We start from the raw sequence: 16,396 nt of genomic DNA on the forward strand, positions 1-16,396 counted from the left end.
TAAACAAATGAGGAAAAGGCTGTTGTTCAGAGGTGGTGACTCATATGCAGATGGATGGCCACAGTGCGCTCCATCCCTGCCATCTCTCTTTGTCATCCTCTGTCTTGCCCATGCTGCAGTGCCTTGCAGATTTGTTTATATGCATGACTTTGTCATCTGTTGCTGAGAGCTGAGGAAAACCTCCTGACTGGTAAGTGCCTGTGCTGTTTATCTTAGGGCAACCCACATTTCTACATGCTTTAAAGCAGGCTTCAGAACTGGGTTACTTTTTATACAGAAGTGCATGTTGCCTGAGCCTCTTTATTAGTGTGGTTCAAACATGAGCACACAGATATGGGAGGGATTTTGCTGAGGACTGTGAGTTGGAGATGATTCAGGAAGTCTATGACAGAGCTAGGATAGCAAAGTCAGTTTCCTGGTCAGGTCTTCCTGTGTAGAAAACTGTGCTAGATACCACTGTGCATGGCAAGGGGCATGAATCTGGAAGTAAAACTGTCTTCTGTCTAAACTCTGAATCCTAATTTTGTCTCCACTCTAAATCCCACTGATTATTAGCTGTTTAATACCTAGTTCTGGCCTTAAGGATAATAATAACTTCTCCTTCTCTGTCATTGTGACAGATAAACTGGCACTGATGCATTGTAGGATAGCTTTGCCTTTGGGCCATCTTAGTGTCACTTAGCATTTGAGAAATAAGTGGCTAGATTATAGAGAAGGAATTATCAAACTATTATCTCTTGCCACATTTCTGGTCAAGCATGCACACAATAAAAACAAAACACCAAAGCGTGTAGTTAATCTCTTGCATGAAGTCATAGGAAGAAGAAGAATTGTAGGCATCAGAATGTAATAGAAAGAGTGTTAGACATGGAGTTTAAGAATACAGCTTGAAGTGCTGGCTCCATCACTTGGCTGTGGACTATAGGCAAGCCACTTGGCCACATCATCGGTTGTAAATTGGAAATGATACCACTTGCTCTGACTGTCTTGAAGAGTGACCCTAAGGAATTAATCTGAATCATTTTCACTTCCTTCCCTACTTCTGGAACTATGATGTCTGATGGCCCTGGTTTCAAGAATAAGAACTAATGCCATTGTAGTGAGTCATTTTAAAACTTGATGCCTTTTGGCCGGGCGTGGTGGCTCACACCTGTAATCCCAGCACTTTGGGAGGCCAAGGCAGGTGGATCATATGAGGTAAGGAGTTTGAGACCAGCCTGGCCAACATGGTGAAACCCCGTTTCTATTAAAAATACAAAAAATTAGCCGGACGTGGTGGCACATGTCTGTAGTCCCAGCTACTCTGGAGGCTCAGGCAGGAGGATCACTTGAGCCCCGGAGGTGGAGGTTGCAATGAGCTGAGATTATGCCACTGCATTGCAGTCTGAGCGACAGAGTGAGACTCGATTTCAAAACAAAATAAAACTTGATGCCTTTGAAAATAAATACAGAATTAGTTTAATATATTTCTAACAAGTAGGCACAACAGAGAATGGAGTGACAACCGCTGCTCCTAGAATCACATTAAGAAAGGCATAGAAGAGAGGAAACAGAAGAGAGTAAGTGAGGCTGGTCAGTATTCAGGGGACCTCTCCATCATCACCTGTGCACTCTCTGGGCTCTTCTTACTCCTCTCTGCACTGGATGTCCAGACAGACATGCCTTTCTTGTTGGGAACCAAGTGCCTCTAAGAAAGCACATATTGACCCCCACTATGAATCAAACAGTGGTTTTTTTGTTTATAAAAGTGAAATCAGTCTTTGGGGTGTTGCTTACAGTTTAAAAAAAAAAGGAAAAGAAAGAAAAAAGAAAGGTTTTCCTCTTGGGCTTTTTAGCCTTGGCCTGAAACTGAGCTGATATATTGTTATTATCACTTGAGAACACAACAGCCTGAGGTCCAGTCGTCTCCTTAATGTAGCTGGGGATGCCATTCCATGTGGTTTTAGAAATCCTTTGTTATTTCTGCTCACCTGCAGAGACAGCCCTCCTGGGAGTGGACCCCAGAGTCTGTATCATCAGAACTCACCTCTCTCTGAGCTGGGATTAAATGTCATTGAACAAAATACTTAACAGCCTTTGTCAACTGTGAATTCAAGCATATTTTGGTACTCAAAAATTTAGAATTTCTGTATTTGGTATAAAGTCAGATGATATGGTTTGGCGGTGTGTTCCACCCAAATCTCATCTCAAATTGTAATCTCCATGTGTCAAGGAGGGGGCCCTGGTGGACGTGATTGGATTATGGAGTTGGCTTCCCCCCATGCTGTTCTCATGATTGTGAGTTCTCATGAGATCTGATGGTTTAAAAGTGTGTGGCAGTTCCCCCCTTATTCGCTCACTCGTGTGCATGTGTGCTCTGTCTCTCTCCTCCTTTCCCCTGCTGCTTTGTGAAGAAGGTGCCTGCTTCCCCTATGCCTTCCACCATGATTGTAAGTTTCCTGAGGCCTCAGCCATGTGGAACTGTGAGTCAATTAAACCTTTTTTCTTAATAAATCACCCAGTCTCTGGTAGTTCTTTATAGTGTGAAAATGGACTAATATATTGGAAAATACTATTTTTACATTTTTTGTATCTTTCTCTTGCTCTGTATTCATTTCCATTCCCCTCTGTATTAGTTTACTAGGAGTTGCCTAACAAAATACCATAAAGAGGTGGCTTGAACAGCAAAAATGTATTTTCACATAGTACTGCAGGCTGGGAAGTCCAAAATCAAGGTGCTGGCAGGGTTGGTTTCTCCTGAGACCTCTCCTTGGCCAGTAGGTGACTGCCTTCTTGCTGTGTCCTCATATTATCTTTCCCCTGTGCAGGCACATCCCTGGTATCTCTTCAAGTTCTTTTTTTTTTTTTTTTTGACAGAGTCTCGCTCTGTTGCCCAGGTTGGAGTGCAGTGGCGTGATCTCGGCTCACTGCAAGCTCCACCCAGGTTCACGCCATTCTCCTGCCTCAGCCTCCCAAGTAGATGGGACTATAGGCACCCGCCACCATGCCTGGCTAATTTTTTGTATTTTTAGTAGAGATGGGGTTTCACAGTGTTAGCCAGGATGGTCTCAATCTCCTGACCTTGTTATCTGCCCACCTCGGCCTCTGAAAGTGCTGGGATTACAGGCGTGAGCTACTGTGCCCAGCCTCTTTTCAAGTTCTTATAAGGACACTAGTCATATTGGATTAAGTCCACACCCTTATGACCTTCTTTAACATTAATTACTGTCTCAAATTTAAAGCCTTTAAATTTGAAACTTGCTATTCTCTGGACCTCTGGAAAGTCATTGGTCCCTAGATAGCAAGTAGAATAATGATAATAAATGGTCCCTCTTCTAAAATGTTTAACTTACTTATCTTCAGTTATTGGTGAAAGAAGGGTAAGTTTTTAAATAATATTTTACATTTGAGAAAAATTGGAGTATGCAAAATCATATTAAAAGTCACTAAGAGGCCAGGCGTGATGGCTTACGCCTGTAAGCCTAACACTTTGGGAGGCCGAGGTGGGCAGATTGCTTGAGCTCAGGAGCGCGAGACCAGCCTGGGCAACACGGTGAAACCCCATCTCTACTAAAATACAAAAAATTAGCCGGGCGTGGTGGCAGGCGCCTACAGTCCCAGCTACTCGGGAGGCTGAGGCAGGAGAATCGCTTAAACATGGGAGGCGGAAGTTGCAGTGAGCCGAGATCGCGCCACTGCACTCCAGCCTTGGTTACAGAGTGAGATTCTGTCTCCAAAAAAAAAAGTCAGTAAGAGTATTAAAAACGGCCCCAGATAGTTCATAGCTTTGTCATGTAACAGAGTTTTGAAGATGGAATTATAAGCACATCGAGTAGTTACCTCTGTCCTGGATTAAGCTACCTAGTTCTGGATTGAAAACACATTTGCTAGTTCTACCTGAAGCAATTAAATCCTGGGAAAACATAAGCCCACAATGCCAGTTTACCGACTTACAGTGAGAATGAGAGCTCCGTTATCAAAGAAACATTGAAAGAGCAAAGACACTAACTCAGTCTATGTTTGGATTGGTGTAGATTTCTCTCATGCCATTTGCTATATTGTATTGAAACTATCTGTGTCTTTTTCCCCTACTTAAAATAAGTAACTTTTCCAGAAACTTCTTGGGTTCTTAGGTATTATGGTTGGGAATCAGATACAAAGATGAATAAGAATTACTAAAAAAAAAATAGTGACAAGGCTAACTTACAGTGATCTCAGCAAAATGGTGGACTGGGAAGTTCCAAGCTCCTGTTCACCAGCAGAAAAATTAAAAAATCACCCAGTAGCTATTTGAACCGACGTTGTAGAAGCTCTGAAATCAGTCAAACGAAGATTATAGCAACCAAGCAAATATCTAACCAAAAAGAGCCATCTTTAAACCAGTAGGAAAGATTTGTGGTATTTTTACACACCCTTGCCCTACCCTCTCCCTGGCATAGTAGCTGATTTGGTCTTGAAGAGGCAACAGCTATTCCGCAGCTTTCCTCTCAAACCGGAGGGAACAGAGCAGACATTATTTGCAAATTAATGTGTATGTCTATTCCAGCCTTTCTGGGGGATACCTGAAGGCCTAATGCAAGGTGCTTGTCTCTGTCTTGTATAATCAGGGAAGCAGGCAGTAAAACCAGTGGGCACTGCTATTAAAAGCTACAGAGTGACTATAAACCTACAGACGCCTGAAGAGATTCTGGCTGGACATGTACAATAGGCCCTGTAAGGCCCAGAGGAGAAACTGGGTGAGATTCTTAGGAAATTACGACTCTCAAAAGCAGCCACATGTATGAAGGAAAATAGAAAGCTGTGATCATGTCAGGCAAGACACATGATCAGAAAAGCCCTGACAAGATGCTAAGATTCATCCCAGGCTGATCTCTAGATTCAGAATAAGCCTAGCTAAGAGATGAAGGAGTACCCCTGCACAGAGCCAGTCTCCAAAGACTCAGACGGCTATAATATGCTCTTTTTTGGGGGGGCGGGGGGGTGGTTGTTGTAGTGTTTGTTTATTTCAGCTTTTGGCACTTAAGACAGTCTTGATTATACTCTTATAATAGCTGAACACAAGGTTAAGGAACCTCAGTGACCAAACTTGAAAAGGAATAGTCTTCTGAGTCTCAAATGGACTACTACAGCCTTAAACAGTAATTTTTTTAAAAAACACAGCAAATCTTGGGGGAGGGGGGACAATCTGATTTCCAGAGTTAACCGTATTATAATAATCAAATGCCAGATTTTCAACAACAGCATCAACAACAACAACAAAAAATAACAGAGCATACAAAGAAACAGGAAAACATGGCTCATTTAAAGGAACTAAAGGGATTGACAGAAACTGTCCCAGAGGCAGCACAGATATTGGACTTATTAGCCAAAGACTATTTGTTTAAAATATGCACAAACACCTAAGGGGAGAACATGGACAAAGAACTAAAGGCAATCAGGCAAACAGTCCCTGAAGAAAAGGACACTATCAATAAAGACATAGAAATTACAGAAATGAAACAAATTTTGGAACTGAAAATACAATAACTGAAATGAAAAATTTACTAGAGGGTTTCAACAGCAGATTGATGCAGATAGAAGAAAGAACTAGCAAAGTAGAAGTTAGGACGATTAATTATCAAGTTTGAGGAGCAAAAAGAAAAAGGAAGGAAGAAAAGTGAACAGAGTCTAAGCGACTCATGGGACTAATAAGTGGACCATCATATGCATTGTGGGAGTTTTAGAAGGGGGAGAAATACTGGGCAGAAAGATTATTTTGAGAAATAATGAAGAATAAACTCCCCAAATTTGATGAAGGGCATAGACCCACAAATCCAAAAATCTCACTAGACTCTAAGTAGAATCAACCAAAGAGACTCACACTGAGACACATGATCAAACTTGACAAAGAGAAATTCTTAAAAGCACCCAGAGAGAGGTGACTCAGCAGATACAATTAATCTTCAAGAAGACTATAAGCTGAATTTTTACCAGAAACCTTGGAGGCCAGAAGGAAGTGGGGTGATATATTTAAAGTGCTGCAAGAAAACAATTGTAAAACACAAATTCTATATCCAGCAAAACCATCCTTCAACTATGAAGCAGAAGTTAAGACATTGCCAGATAAGTGAAAGTTGAGGGAGTTAATTACCACCAGACCTCTATAGGAAATATGAAAGGGAGACCCGCAGGTTGAAATGAAAGAATACTTAGACAATAATTCGAAGGTGTATGAAGATATTAAGATCTCCGATAAAGCTAATTTCACGAGTTAATATTTATAATTTTGGTTTATAATTGTGATTTTTGAAGAAATTATAACACAAATTCAGGTCAGTTATGTCCTGATTATATCCCAGTAGGTTAGACTCTGGTAAGACAATTTCTCTTTTGGGCAGGCCTTGTTAAGGACAGAATGCTTCAGAGGTATTTCAAAATGGCTAACATTTCCCCTCCCTATGCCAGGAGTATGGGGGGATTTTTCTCCCATCTTCACTGAGAGAACCAGGGAGGACCCCTGGAGATAAAACTCACGAGAATGTCTGGGGGGGCCTGCTAAGACTGGGCCCCATAGAGTTTTTAACTCTCAGACTTGTTGGCACTGAGCCTCCAATGATTCATCATTTATAGTTTAGGTTTTCCTACTCTGGTACTGGTGGTTCCTGCAGAGGCTTCTTCTCCTGAGTTTCTGCTCTGCAGGTTGGGATTCTTTATCTGCCTGTCTGTCTCTCCAATCTGGAGACAGTGTTTTGACCTGTGACCTCACTTCTCTGACAAATCTAAGAAGAGTTGATTTTCAGGTTGTTCAGCTTTTTACTTGTTGTCAAGATGGATGAGGGTTTCCAAGCTGTTTGCATGCTAGACTGAGAACCAGAAGTTCTGCATGTTGGTTTTGTATCCTGCAGCCTTGGTGAACTCATTTATTTATTCTAATATTTTTGGTGTGTGGAATATGTAGGGTTTTCTACATCTAAGATCATGCCAGCTACAAACAGAGATAATTTTCCTACTTCCTTTCCAACTTCGATTCCTTTTTTGTCCTTTTCTTGACAAACTGCTCTTGCTAGAAATTCCAATATCATGTTGAATAGAAGTGGTGAAAGTGGGCATCGTTGTCTTGTTCCTGATTGTAGGGGAAAAACTTTTGAGTCTTTCACCACTGAATATGCTGTCAGCTATAGGTTTTTCATATATGACCTTTATCATCTATAGAAAGTTCTTTCTATTCCTAGTTTACTGAGTGTTTTTATCTTGAAAGGATTGTTGCATTAGTTCAGATGCTTTTTCTGCATTAGTTGGGATGATCATGTCATCCCAACTTTATTAATATGTTGTAATACTGTAATTGATTTTTATGTGTTTCAGGAAGAAATCCCACTTGTTAGGTACTTAACTCCAGCCGCCTCTAGTCATCTTTCCACCCAAGGGGAGTGGGGACTGAGACACAGTGGTGAAGGTCACAGCCCAAGGGTATAGTCTTACTGAAAGACTGAGACCTAATCATAGGTCTATAGAATCCTTCCCCCCTACACACACACCTTACCACCACAACACTAAAGCCTTGTTTACTACAGTTTATTTTCCTGGGTAATCATGTCTGGCTTTCAGCAAAAAGTACAAGGCATACTAAAAAGCAAAAACAGTTTGAGGAAATGGAGCAAGCATCAGAACTCTGATATGGAAGAGATGTTGGAATTATCAGACTGGGCATTTAAAACAACTCTGATTAATATGCTAAGGGTTCTAATGGGAAAAGTAGATAACATAAGTAGATAACATGCAAGAACAGATGGACAGTGCAAGCAGAGAGATGGAAATTTTTAGAAAGAATCAAAACGAAACACTAGAGATAAAAAAAACTAGCAGAAACGAAAAATGTTTTTGATGGACTCAACCTCTGAGCTTGAGGATATGCCAACAGAAACATCCAAAACTGAAGGCACAGAGAGAAAGATGACCTAAAAAATGGAACAGAATATACAAGAAGTGGGCAACTACAGAAGATTAACATACTTGTAAATGATAATACCAGAAACAGAAGATGAGAACAAAAATATTTGAAGCAATTATGACTGAGAATTTCCCCAAATTAATGCCAGACACTAAACCACAGATCCATGAAGCTCAGAAAACACCAAACAGGATAAATGCCAAAAAAAAAAAAAAAAAAAAAAAACATCTAGGCATATCATAATCACACTGCAGAAAATCAAAGATAAATAAAACATAAGAAGACAGAGGGGAAAAGTACCTTAGCTATAAAGGAGGAAGAATAAGAATTACATCGTACAGTATTTGGATTGTATAGTAATTCTGTGTTTAACTTTTCAAGGAACTGCCAAGCTTTTCATGGTGGCTGCACCATTTTACATTCCCATCAGCAGTGTACAGGGTTTGGGATTCTCCACACCCTCACCAACTCTTATTATTTCCCCCCTTTAAAAGAAATCATAACCATCCTAATGGATGTGAAGTGGTATCTCATTGTGGTTTAGATTTAATTTCCTTAAAGGCTAGTGATGTTGAGCAACTTTTCATGGTATATCTTCTTTGGAGGCATGTCTATTTGAACTCTTTGCCCATTTTAAAATTTGTTCAATTGTGTTTTTTTGGTCGGTGAGTTGTAGGAGTTCTTTATATATTGTGGATGTTAATCCCTTATCATATATATATGCTTTGTACATATTTTCTCCCATTCTGTATGTTGTCTTTTCACTTTCTTGGTAGTGTCCTTTGATGTTTAAATTTTTTTTGATGAAGTCCAGTTTACCTATTTTGTTCTTTTGTTGTCTGTGCTGTTGGTGTTGTATCAAATCATTGCCTAACCCAGTGTCATGAAGATGTTTCTCTATGCGTTCTTCCAAAATTTTATAGTTTTAGCTCTTAAATTTAATAGTTTTAGCTCTTAAATTTAGGTGTTTTATATGTTTTAAGCTAATTTCTGTATTTGACTTAATATAAGGGTCTAACTTCATCATTGTGCATGTGGATATCCAGTTTTCCCAGCACTGTTGTTGGAAAGGTTGTCCTTTCTCCATTAAATGATGTTGGCATCCTTGTGGAAAATCACTTGACCATATATGCAAGGATTTATTTCTGGGCTTTCTGTTCTATACCTTTGATCTGTATGTCTGTCTTTATGCTGTGGGGGGACCCCACACTGTTTTGATCATCTAGCTTTGTAATAAGTTTTGCAATCAGACGTTGAAATGTAATAAAGATGAATAAATACGGTATTTTTTAATCCTAAAATGTTAGCTCCATGAGAGCACAGATTTTTATCTATCCTTTTTTTTTTTTCTTTTTTTTGAGATGGAGTCTCACTCTGTCGCCCAAGCTGGAGTGCAGTGGCCTGATCTCAGCTCACTGTAACCCCCACCTCCTGGGTTCAAGTGATTCTCCTGTGTCAGCCTACTGAGTAGCTGGGATTACAGGTGTGATGCCCGGCTAATAGATTTTTATCTATCTTATTCATGTATTAGCCCTAATATCTAGACAGGTATCTAGTATATAATAAGAGATAAATAAAAGCTGTTGAATGGCCAGGCGCGGTGGCCCACCCCTGTAATTCTAGCACTTTGGGGGGCCGAGGCGGGTAGAACACCTGAGATCAGGAGTTCGAGACCAGTCTGGCCAACGTGGTGAAACCCCATCTCTACTAAAAATGCAAAAAATTAGCCAGGTGTGGTGGCAGGCACCTGTAATCCCAGCTACTTGGGAGGCTGAGACAGGAGAATTGCTTGAACCTGGGAGGCGGAGGTTACATTGAGCTGAGATCACACCATTGCACTCCAGCCTGGGTGACAAGAGTGAAACTGTCTCAAAAAACAAAACAAAAACTGCTGAATGAATGGAATCTCCCAGAGAGCTTAAGAGTATGATGGACAGGCCAAAATAGGAAATTGAATAGGAATAACAGCATTTGACAAATTAGCAGTTTTCCTTTTTCCGCCTTCCAAAAAACCCTTTCCTCACTCTTAAATAATGTAACTTCAGTATGAGTATTCCTGTAGCACTGGATTCAGTGTGTGCACAATTAAACTTCAGCAGCCACCGCTGCAAGTGGGCTCCCAGAACCCATCTCCTAAGTACTTCTGTCCGAATCTTATCCCCAGGCATTGGGCAGGATTCTGGATGAGTTACTTACGATGTCTTCACGTGTTAGATTTGTGCCTTCCAATCCTCACACTACCATTCTTTTATACAGTTACTACTACATTTTAAAGTGGCACCTTGGTCTGTTGGGGATGGGCAAGAAAGGAGCTCTAGAGTATTAGTAAATTTAAGGATTATTTGGAAATAGAAGAATTGTGAGGAAGGACTCTCAGCTTGGGACCTTATCTGATGTAGTGCCCAGCCATTGCAGATAGTCATTTAAGCTAGAACTTTACATGACTTGTAGTGGCCCTCTGCTCTGGAGTCTTCCTGGGATATACTGCCTTCTAGGATTGGCATAAAAAGCTACCTGTATTTAAATCTCATGTGTAGTTCATGAAAAATAAAATACAAAGCTGCTTGTGAAACTTACCTAGGATAGTTGAACAAGAGAGTGGTCAGGCCAAGGCTTCATTAAGAAGTATAAAAAGGCCGGGCGCAGTGGCTCACGCCTGTAATCCCAGCACTTTGGGAGGCCGAGGCGGACGGATCACAAGGTCAGGAGATCGAGACCATCCTGGCTAACACGGTGAAACCCCATCTCTACTAAAAATACAAAAAATTAGCCAGGCGTGGTGGTGGGCGCCTGTAGTCCCAGCTACTTGGGAGGCTGAGGCAGGAGAATGGTGTGAACCCAAGAGGCGGAGCTTGCAGTGAGCCGAGGTTGCGCCACTGCACTCCAGCCTGGCTGACAGAGCGAGACTCTGTCTCAAAAAAAAAAAAAAAGAAGAAGAAGTATAAAGCATTCATTTCTTTGCCATAATGCAGAGGGATAAAAGAAGTGACGATTGCCATTATTTAGCTTCTTTGAAGTTGTAAGAAACAAATTGGTTTAGTTTACCTTCCAAGTTTATTATAAAGATACATATCTCAGTTGGCCTTCACGAAAATTAAACACCATTTACCTTTTATGTCCTCTAGTTCACCTGTTGTTACCAACTCTAGTATTTCCACCATTTTGACCAATCAGCCTGTATCTCCTTATAATGTACTTCTATTTCTCTAGACTATAAGCTCTCCCATTTTCTTATTTCTCTTGGCTTCATACTTCTTAAGAGAAAAGATGTGATTGGGTTGTCCAGTCATCATCCAGGTGAGCAGTGCTCTCATGACTCACCTCTCAGGTCCTTGATGGTCTTTGGGCCAGAGCTGATCTCTGGTCATAGTCCCTTAGAGCCAGTGGTGGTGCCTCGTCGAAGTCATGGTGCTCATACTGAGAGAAATGTTTATGGCCAATAGTCCCTTAGAGCCAGTGGTGGTGTCTCGTCTAAGTCGTGGTGCTCATACTGAGAGAAATGTTTATGGCCAGTAGTCCCTTAGAGCCAGTGGTGGCGTCTCGTCAAAGTCGTGGTGCTCATACTGAGAGAAATGTTTATGGCCAGTAGTCCCTTAGAGCCAGTGGTGGCGTCTCGTCAAAGTCGTGGTGCTCATACTGAGAGAAATGTTTATGGCCAGTAGTCCCTTAGAGCCAGTGGTGGCGTCTCGTCAAAGTCGTGGTGCTCATACTGAGAGAAATGTTTATGGCCAATAGTCCCTTAGAGCCAGTGGTGGCGTCTCGTCGAAGTCGTGGTGCTCATACTGAGAGAAATGTTTATGGCCAATAGTCCCTTAGAGCTAGTGGTGGCGTCTCGTCAAAGTCGTGGTGCTCATACTGAGAGAAATGTTTATGGCCAATAGTCCCTTAGAGCCAGTGGTGGTGTCTCGTCTAAGTCATGGTGCTCCTACTGAGAGAAATGTTTATGGCCAGTAGTCCCTTAGAGCCAGTGGTGGCGTCTCGTCGAAGTCGTGGTGCTCATACTGAGAGAAATGTTTATGGCCAATAGTCCCTTAGAGCCAGTGGTGGCGTCTCGTCGAAGTCGTGGTGCTCATACTGGAAGAAATGTTTATGGCCAATAGTCCCTTAGAGCCAGTGGTGGCGTCTGGTCGAAGTCGTGGTGCTCATGCTGAGAGAAATGTTTATGGCCACTAGTCCCTTAGAGCCAGTGGTGGTGTCTCGTCGAAGTCGTGGTGCTCATACTGGAAGAAATGTTTATGGCCAATAGTCCCTTAGAGCCAGTGGTGGTGTCTCGTCGAAGTCGTGGTGCTCATGCTGAGAGAAATGTTTGTGGCCACTTTCCTTAGAAGGAGCCCGTGTGGCCTTGGTAGAGACTCGGAGCCTCACATATCATTCTTTACTAGTGCATCACTGGGCGCTTTCATTTTGAAGGAGAAGTAGAAGGGGCTGCACATGCATGGTATGTATTTCTGGCTCCCAGAGGGAGTAGCCATGGTTATCCAAACAAAATAACATTATCTTCACTTGTCCTTTGTTCTATAACTTTTTGTGGAAGTGTTTTAGGAACCAATAGCAATTCAGGTATATTACACTTCTGTTTTCCATCCCTTTTTATTGAATTATTGTTTAGGGCTTTTGCTAGAATTAGTGAAATCTGACTATTTAGAAAGAAAAGATCCATGTAGCTGGGCCATTAAAGAAGATAAAGGAAAAGAATGGGCTGTGTGAGGCTGCCCAATATGCAAGGAGTTAAAGCAGCTTGGAGCAGAGTTGCTCTGTGATTTTCTTTAGCGGTTATCATAAGCCAGGACCCAGAGACCTTCATCAAGGTGTTCTGTATGAAGGCCTTCTTTGGGGATGGCATGTTTTATTAGAGGCATGGCAGCTAAAGAATAATATTTTGTAGGTAGTCCATGTACCTACTTGATCTTCTCTCCAAGATTAGTTGAGAAATTTTGAGACCATGGTAAACAGGTTTCTGATGTTTGCCCAAACCCATAAGGAATCAGATGCTAGTTTTGAAAGGGATTGCCATGCAATTAGTTATCTTGCTTTCATCAATGATATAAACTCAGCTTCGTGAAAATTACCGTGTTATATTATTATTTTTCTCATTTCAACAAAGACCGGTGAAAACTTCTTCGTGGACTGGAACCACCGGGTTGCTCATACAGCGAGGTGGACTCCTAGCTGGTTGATAACCATACCCAGAGAGTGTTGATGCCGTCCCGAAGGGAAGAGTTCCAGCCCAAGAGTCTGGCCCATATCACGTGCCACTGAGGGTGCCTGTGCAGGATTGGAAGCCTGGGGAAGAGGGGAAGATGGAGGGAGAAAGGGCAGAAGGCCCGGGCAGGTCTGGGAGGAGAGGTGTCGAAGGGTCAATAGGAAATGCTTAGACAAAGGCTTTAAAGCTCTGAGGGCTTTGTTCTGGGACTAAAAAGGAGAAGGAATTCTTAGAACTCTTCTCTTTCCCTTGGCTCCTTCCAGTGAAGGTCAGATTTGAGAGAGAAAGCAGTTAACTTGGCTTACCTAAGAGACTTTATTGTGGAATATTTTTCCATCCTCTGTGGTTAGTAACCATAGCCTACGCAGACGGGAAAACCTGACCTCAGTGCAAGGTTTCTCTGCCGTTTGAGATACATTGTCTCTGATTTTACTTTTCTTTCTCCTTCAGGCTGCCTGATAGGGGCTGTAAATCTCAAATCCAGCAATCGAACCCCAGTGGTACAGGAATTTGAAAGTAAGTACAAACGAAATGCCTAGGATAATGGGCACCATCTACTGGACATTTGATGTCTTGCAGCCAACTCAGGACACATCTGTCTCTGTAAGTGTGCCAGGGAGATGTTCCGGGTGGACTGCTCTGCGGTGCACAGGCCTGGAAGCATGGCATCAGCAGGCCGGCAGTGAGCCCTGTGCAGTTTTCCATCAGCTGTCATCGCACTCCTGCCTGGCTTTGTGATCACACAACAAATAAATTTCTTTTTTCTTTTTGAGATGGAGTCTCGCTCCTGTTGCCCAGGCTGGAGTGTAGTGGCGCAATCTTGGCTCACTGCAGCCTCTGCCTCCTGAGTAGCTGGGATTACAGGCACCCGCCACCACACCCAGCTGATTTTTGTACGGGGTTTTGCCATGTTTGGCCTGACTGGTCTCAAACTCCTGACCTCAGGTGATCCACCCTCCTTGGCCTCCCAAAGTGCTAAGATTACAGGTGTGAGCCACCGCGCCTGGCCAAGAAATTTCTTATATACAAGCAGGGTGTTTAAGGGAGGGGTACACTATGTAGTAAAATCCTTGCTAATTATCTTTATTGTTTTTCTGGCAAAAAATCCTTTCTCAAAGTCTCTTGGAGTGTGGAGTTGGCTACGTTTTTAATCTGCATGAAAGGCCTCTTGAATTAGAGCTTGCAGGGTCTGGGTGCAGCTGAACGTAGAAGCACTCCACATTCACCGAGAGCTCTTTTTCTTCTTTGCGTGTTAGGTGTGGAACTGTCTTGCATCATTACGGATTCGCAGACAAGTGACCCCAGGATCGAGTGGAAGAAAATTCAAGATGAACAAACCACATATGTGTTTTTTGACAACAAAATTCAGGGTATGATCCTGTAGTCCTCTTGCCTGCTGACCTTTCCTCTGTCCATAGACCTGGGTATACACTCTTGGCCAGAAACTTACCTCAGACTGGTAACCTGCATCTGTAGCTAGGACCGTTTTTTTTTTTTTAAAGATTTATAATTATGGAAAATTTCAAATATATGCAAAAGTAATGCAAATGGTATATCAAGCCTCCCTGTCCCTGTCCCCCAGCATCAACAAGTGCAGTTCATTAGCTAGGATCTTAATCTGCTCACAGCCCCATTTCTTTGGGGAATCAAAGTGAACATTTTCCTAGGCCATCTTCTCATGATCCTGATGTGAGTGATGTAGGTGAGTGAATGAGAAGGACCATATGTTTCAGCAAGGGCACAGCACAAATGGACTGAGCCACCCACTGTGTTTCTGGCTTGGTGCTGGGGTTGCCGATGGGGAGAAAACACGGTGTACCCTGAAGTGACATCCTCCCGGGTGGGAGGATGGTGGTCAGGGAAGGCTCCCCAAAGTGGCCTCTCTGGGTGCGGTGTGAAGGGTGGCTGGTTAGCAGGCAAGATGGTATGGAGGGAGGTGGTGATCAGGAGAGAATGCTGTGTATGAAGACGCAGAAGCAACAGACGGACTGGCTGATGGGAAAGACTGGAAGTTCCCCACTGTTGCCGGTACATGGACAGGGAGAGAGGGAGGAGAGGGGGGAGAGGGGCTGGAGAGGTTGCCTGGCCAGGCAGACTGCACTGAATGCCAGGCGAGCATGGGCGGTATCTGAGGGCCCGCTGTGAGGCTCTCAGGGGAGGTGCCGTGGCTGCATCTATGTTTCAGAAGACTGAAGTGGCTGCTGTAGAGAAGAGATTGGAGGCGGCACAACTCAGAGCAGAGGCCCAAGTCAGAGGCCTTCTGCAGAGTCCGGGAGAGGGCTGGTGGGGGGCCCCAAGCTGGGGTGCAGGCAGGGAGAGAGACTCGAGGGGAGGCCTGCTGGGGCTTGGCTGTGCCAAGGGGCACAGAGGGAGGCAGGCAGGTGGCTGGAGAGGAGGATGGCATCCTTTTTCTGACAGGAGGGCGGGAGCTGCAGGAGGTACACATGCAGGCTCGTGCATGAGTCGGAGCCTGTGGAGTTCTCAGAGAAGTTGAGAGTTGAGAGGGATTTGTGGAAGCAGCTCCAACACAGTCTTGCTTTGGGTTCTCAGTGTCGCCGGGAGCCTGAGTCTCCTCAAAAGAGTTTTGCTTCCCACTCACGTGAAGTCCCTCCTTTGCCTCTTATTTTTGGAGTGATGGAAATGTTCTTCTCAGAACACAGATCTGTTTTCTTTGGCTACTCAGGCTGACCCTGCTAAACCCTGAGCATGTAGTTAGAGCATCAGAGGAACCAGGTGAGAAACTCTTTAAAGAACTTTCCTTTTCTGGGGATTAAACATTTTGCTCTTAGCCACAGGGATGGGGAGGCCGAGGGAGACGGTTTCCCGCACAGAATGCCGGGGTTCGGGGAGGATGCAGCTGTACTTGGCCTCTTTCCTCGCCTCAGTGCAGGGCTGCACCAGAGGCACCCTGGTGGGGTTTATTTACTCTTTTCTCACATGGTAAAGGTTCGAATCCTCCACTAATGGGTGGGTGTATAACAAAGCTTCCCATTCGAAAATGTTGTTGCCAACGTCTGTGCTCCATCGGAAGCATCTTTTAGTGTGCTGTTTTTAGTGTATTATGGCAAGCCCTTCATGTCCTTGTCAGCAGTTGTCAGGTTTAGCGATGAGTAGTTGCTACTCTTTTGTGTCATGTTTTCCTAACTCCTTCCCCTATTTGTTGTTTTCCAGGTTCTTCCTGCTTCTTTGAAAGTGTTATTATGTCTTATGTTTAAAATGTTTTTTTATGGAGCTGTAATTCGTACCGCATCCTTTTAAAGTGTGCAGTTCAGGGGTTTTTAATA

General features: G+C 43.1%; 1 protein-coding gene across 2 annotated transcripts in view; it reads left to right on the forward strand.

Moving 5' to 3' along the window:
• The window catches only part of JAM3 (junctional adhesion molecule 3), an 82,930-nt gene that overhangs the window by 57,217 nt on the left and 9,317 nt on the right, over positions 1 to 16,396 (forward strand). For both annotated transcript variants that reach the window (NM_032801.5, NM_001205329.2), the window contains exons 2-3: positions 13,563 to 13,628; positions 14,369 to 14,482. In NM_032801.5, coding sequence (NP_116190.3) covers positions 13,563 to 13,628; positions 14,369 to 14,482 — 180 coding nt within the window. The remainder of the gene's footprint in view (positions 1 to 13,562; positions 13,629 to 14,368; positions 14,483 to 16,396) is intronic.

The sequence above is a fragment of the Homo sapiens genome, chromosome 11 (genome assembly GCF_000001405.40).
Source record: "Homo sapiens chromosome 11, GRCh38.p14 Primary Assembly".
NCBI classification, from domain to species: domain Eukaryota; kingdom Metazoa; phylum Chordata; class Mammalia; order Primates; family Hominidae; genus Homo; species Homo sapiens.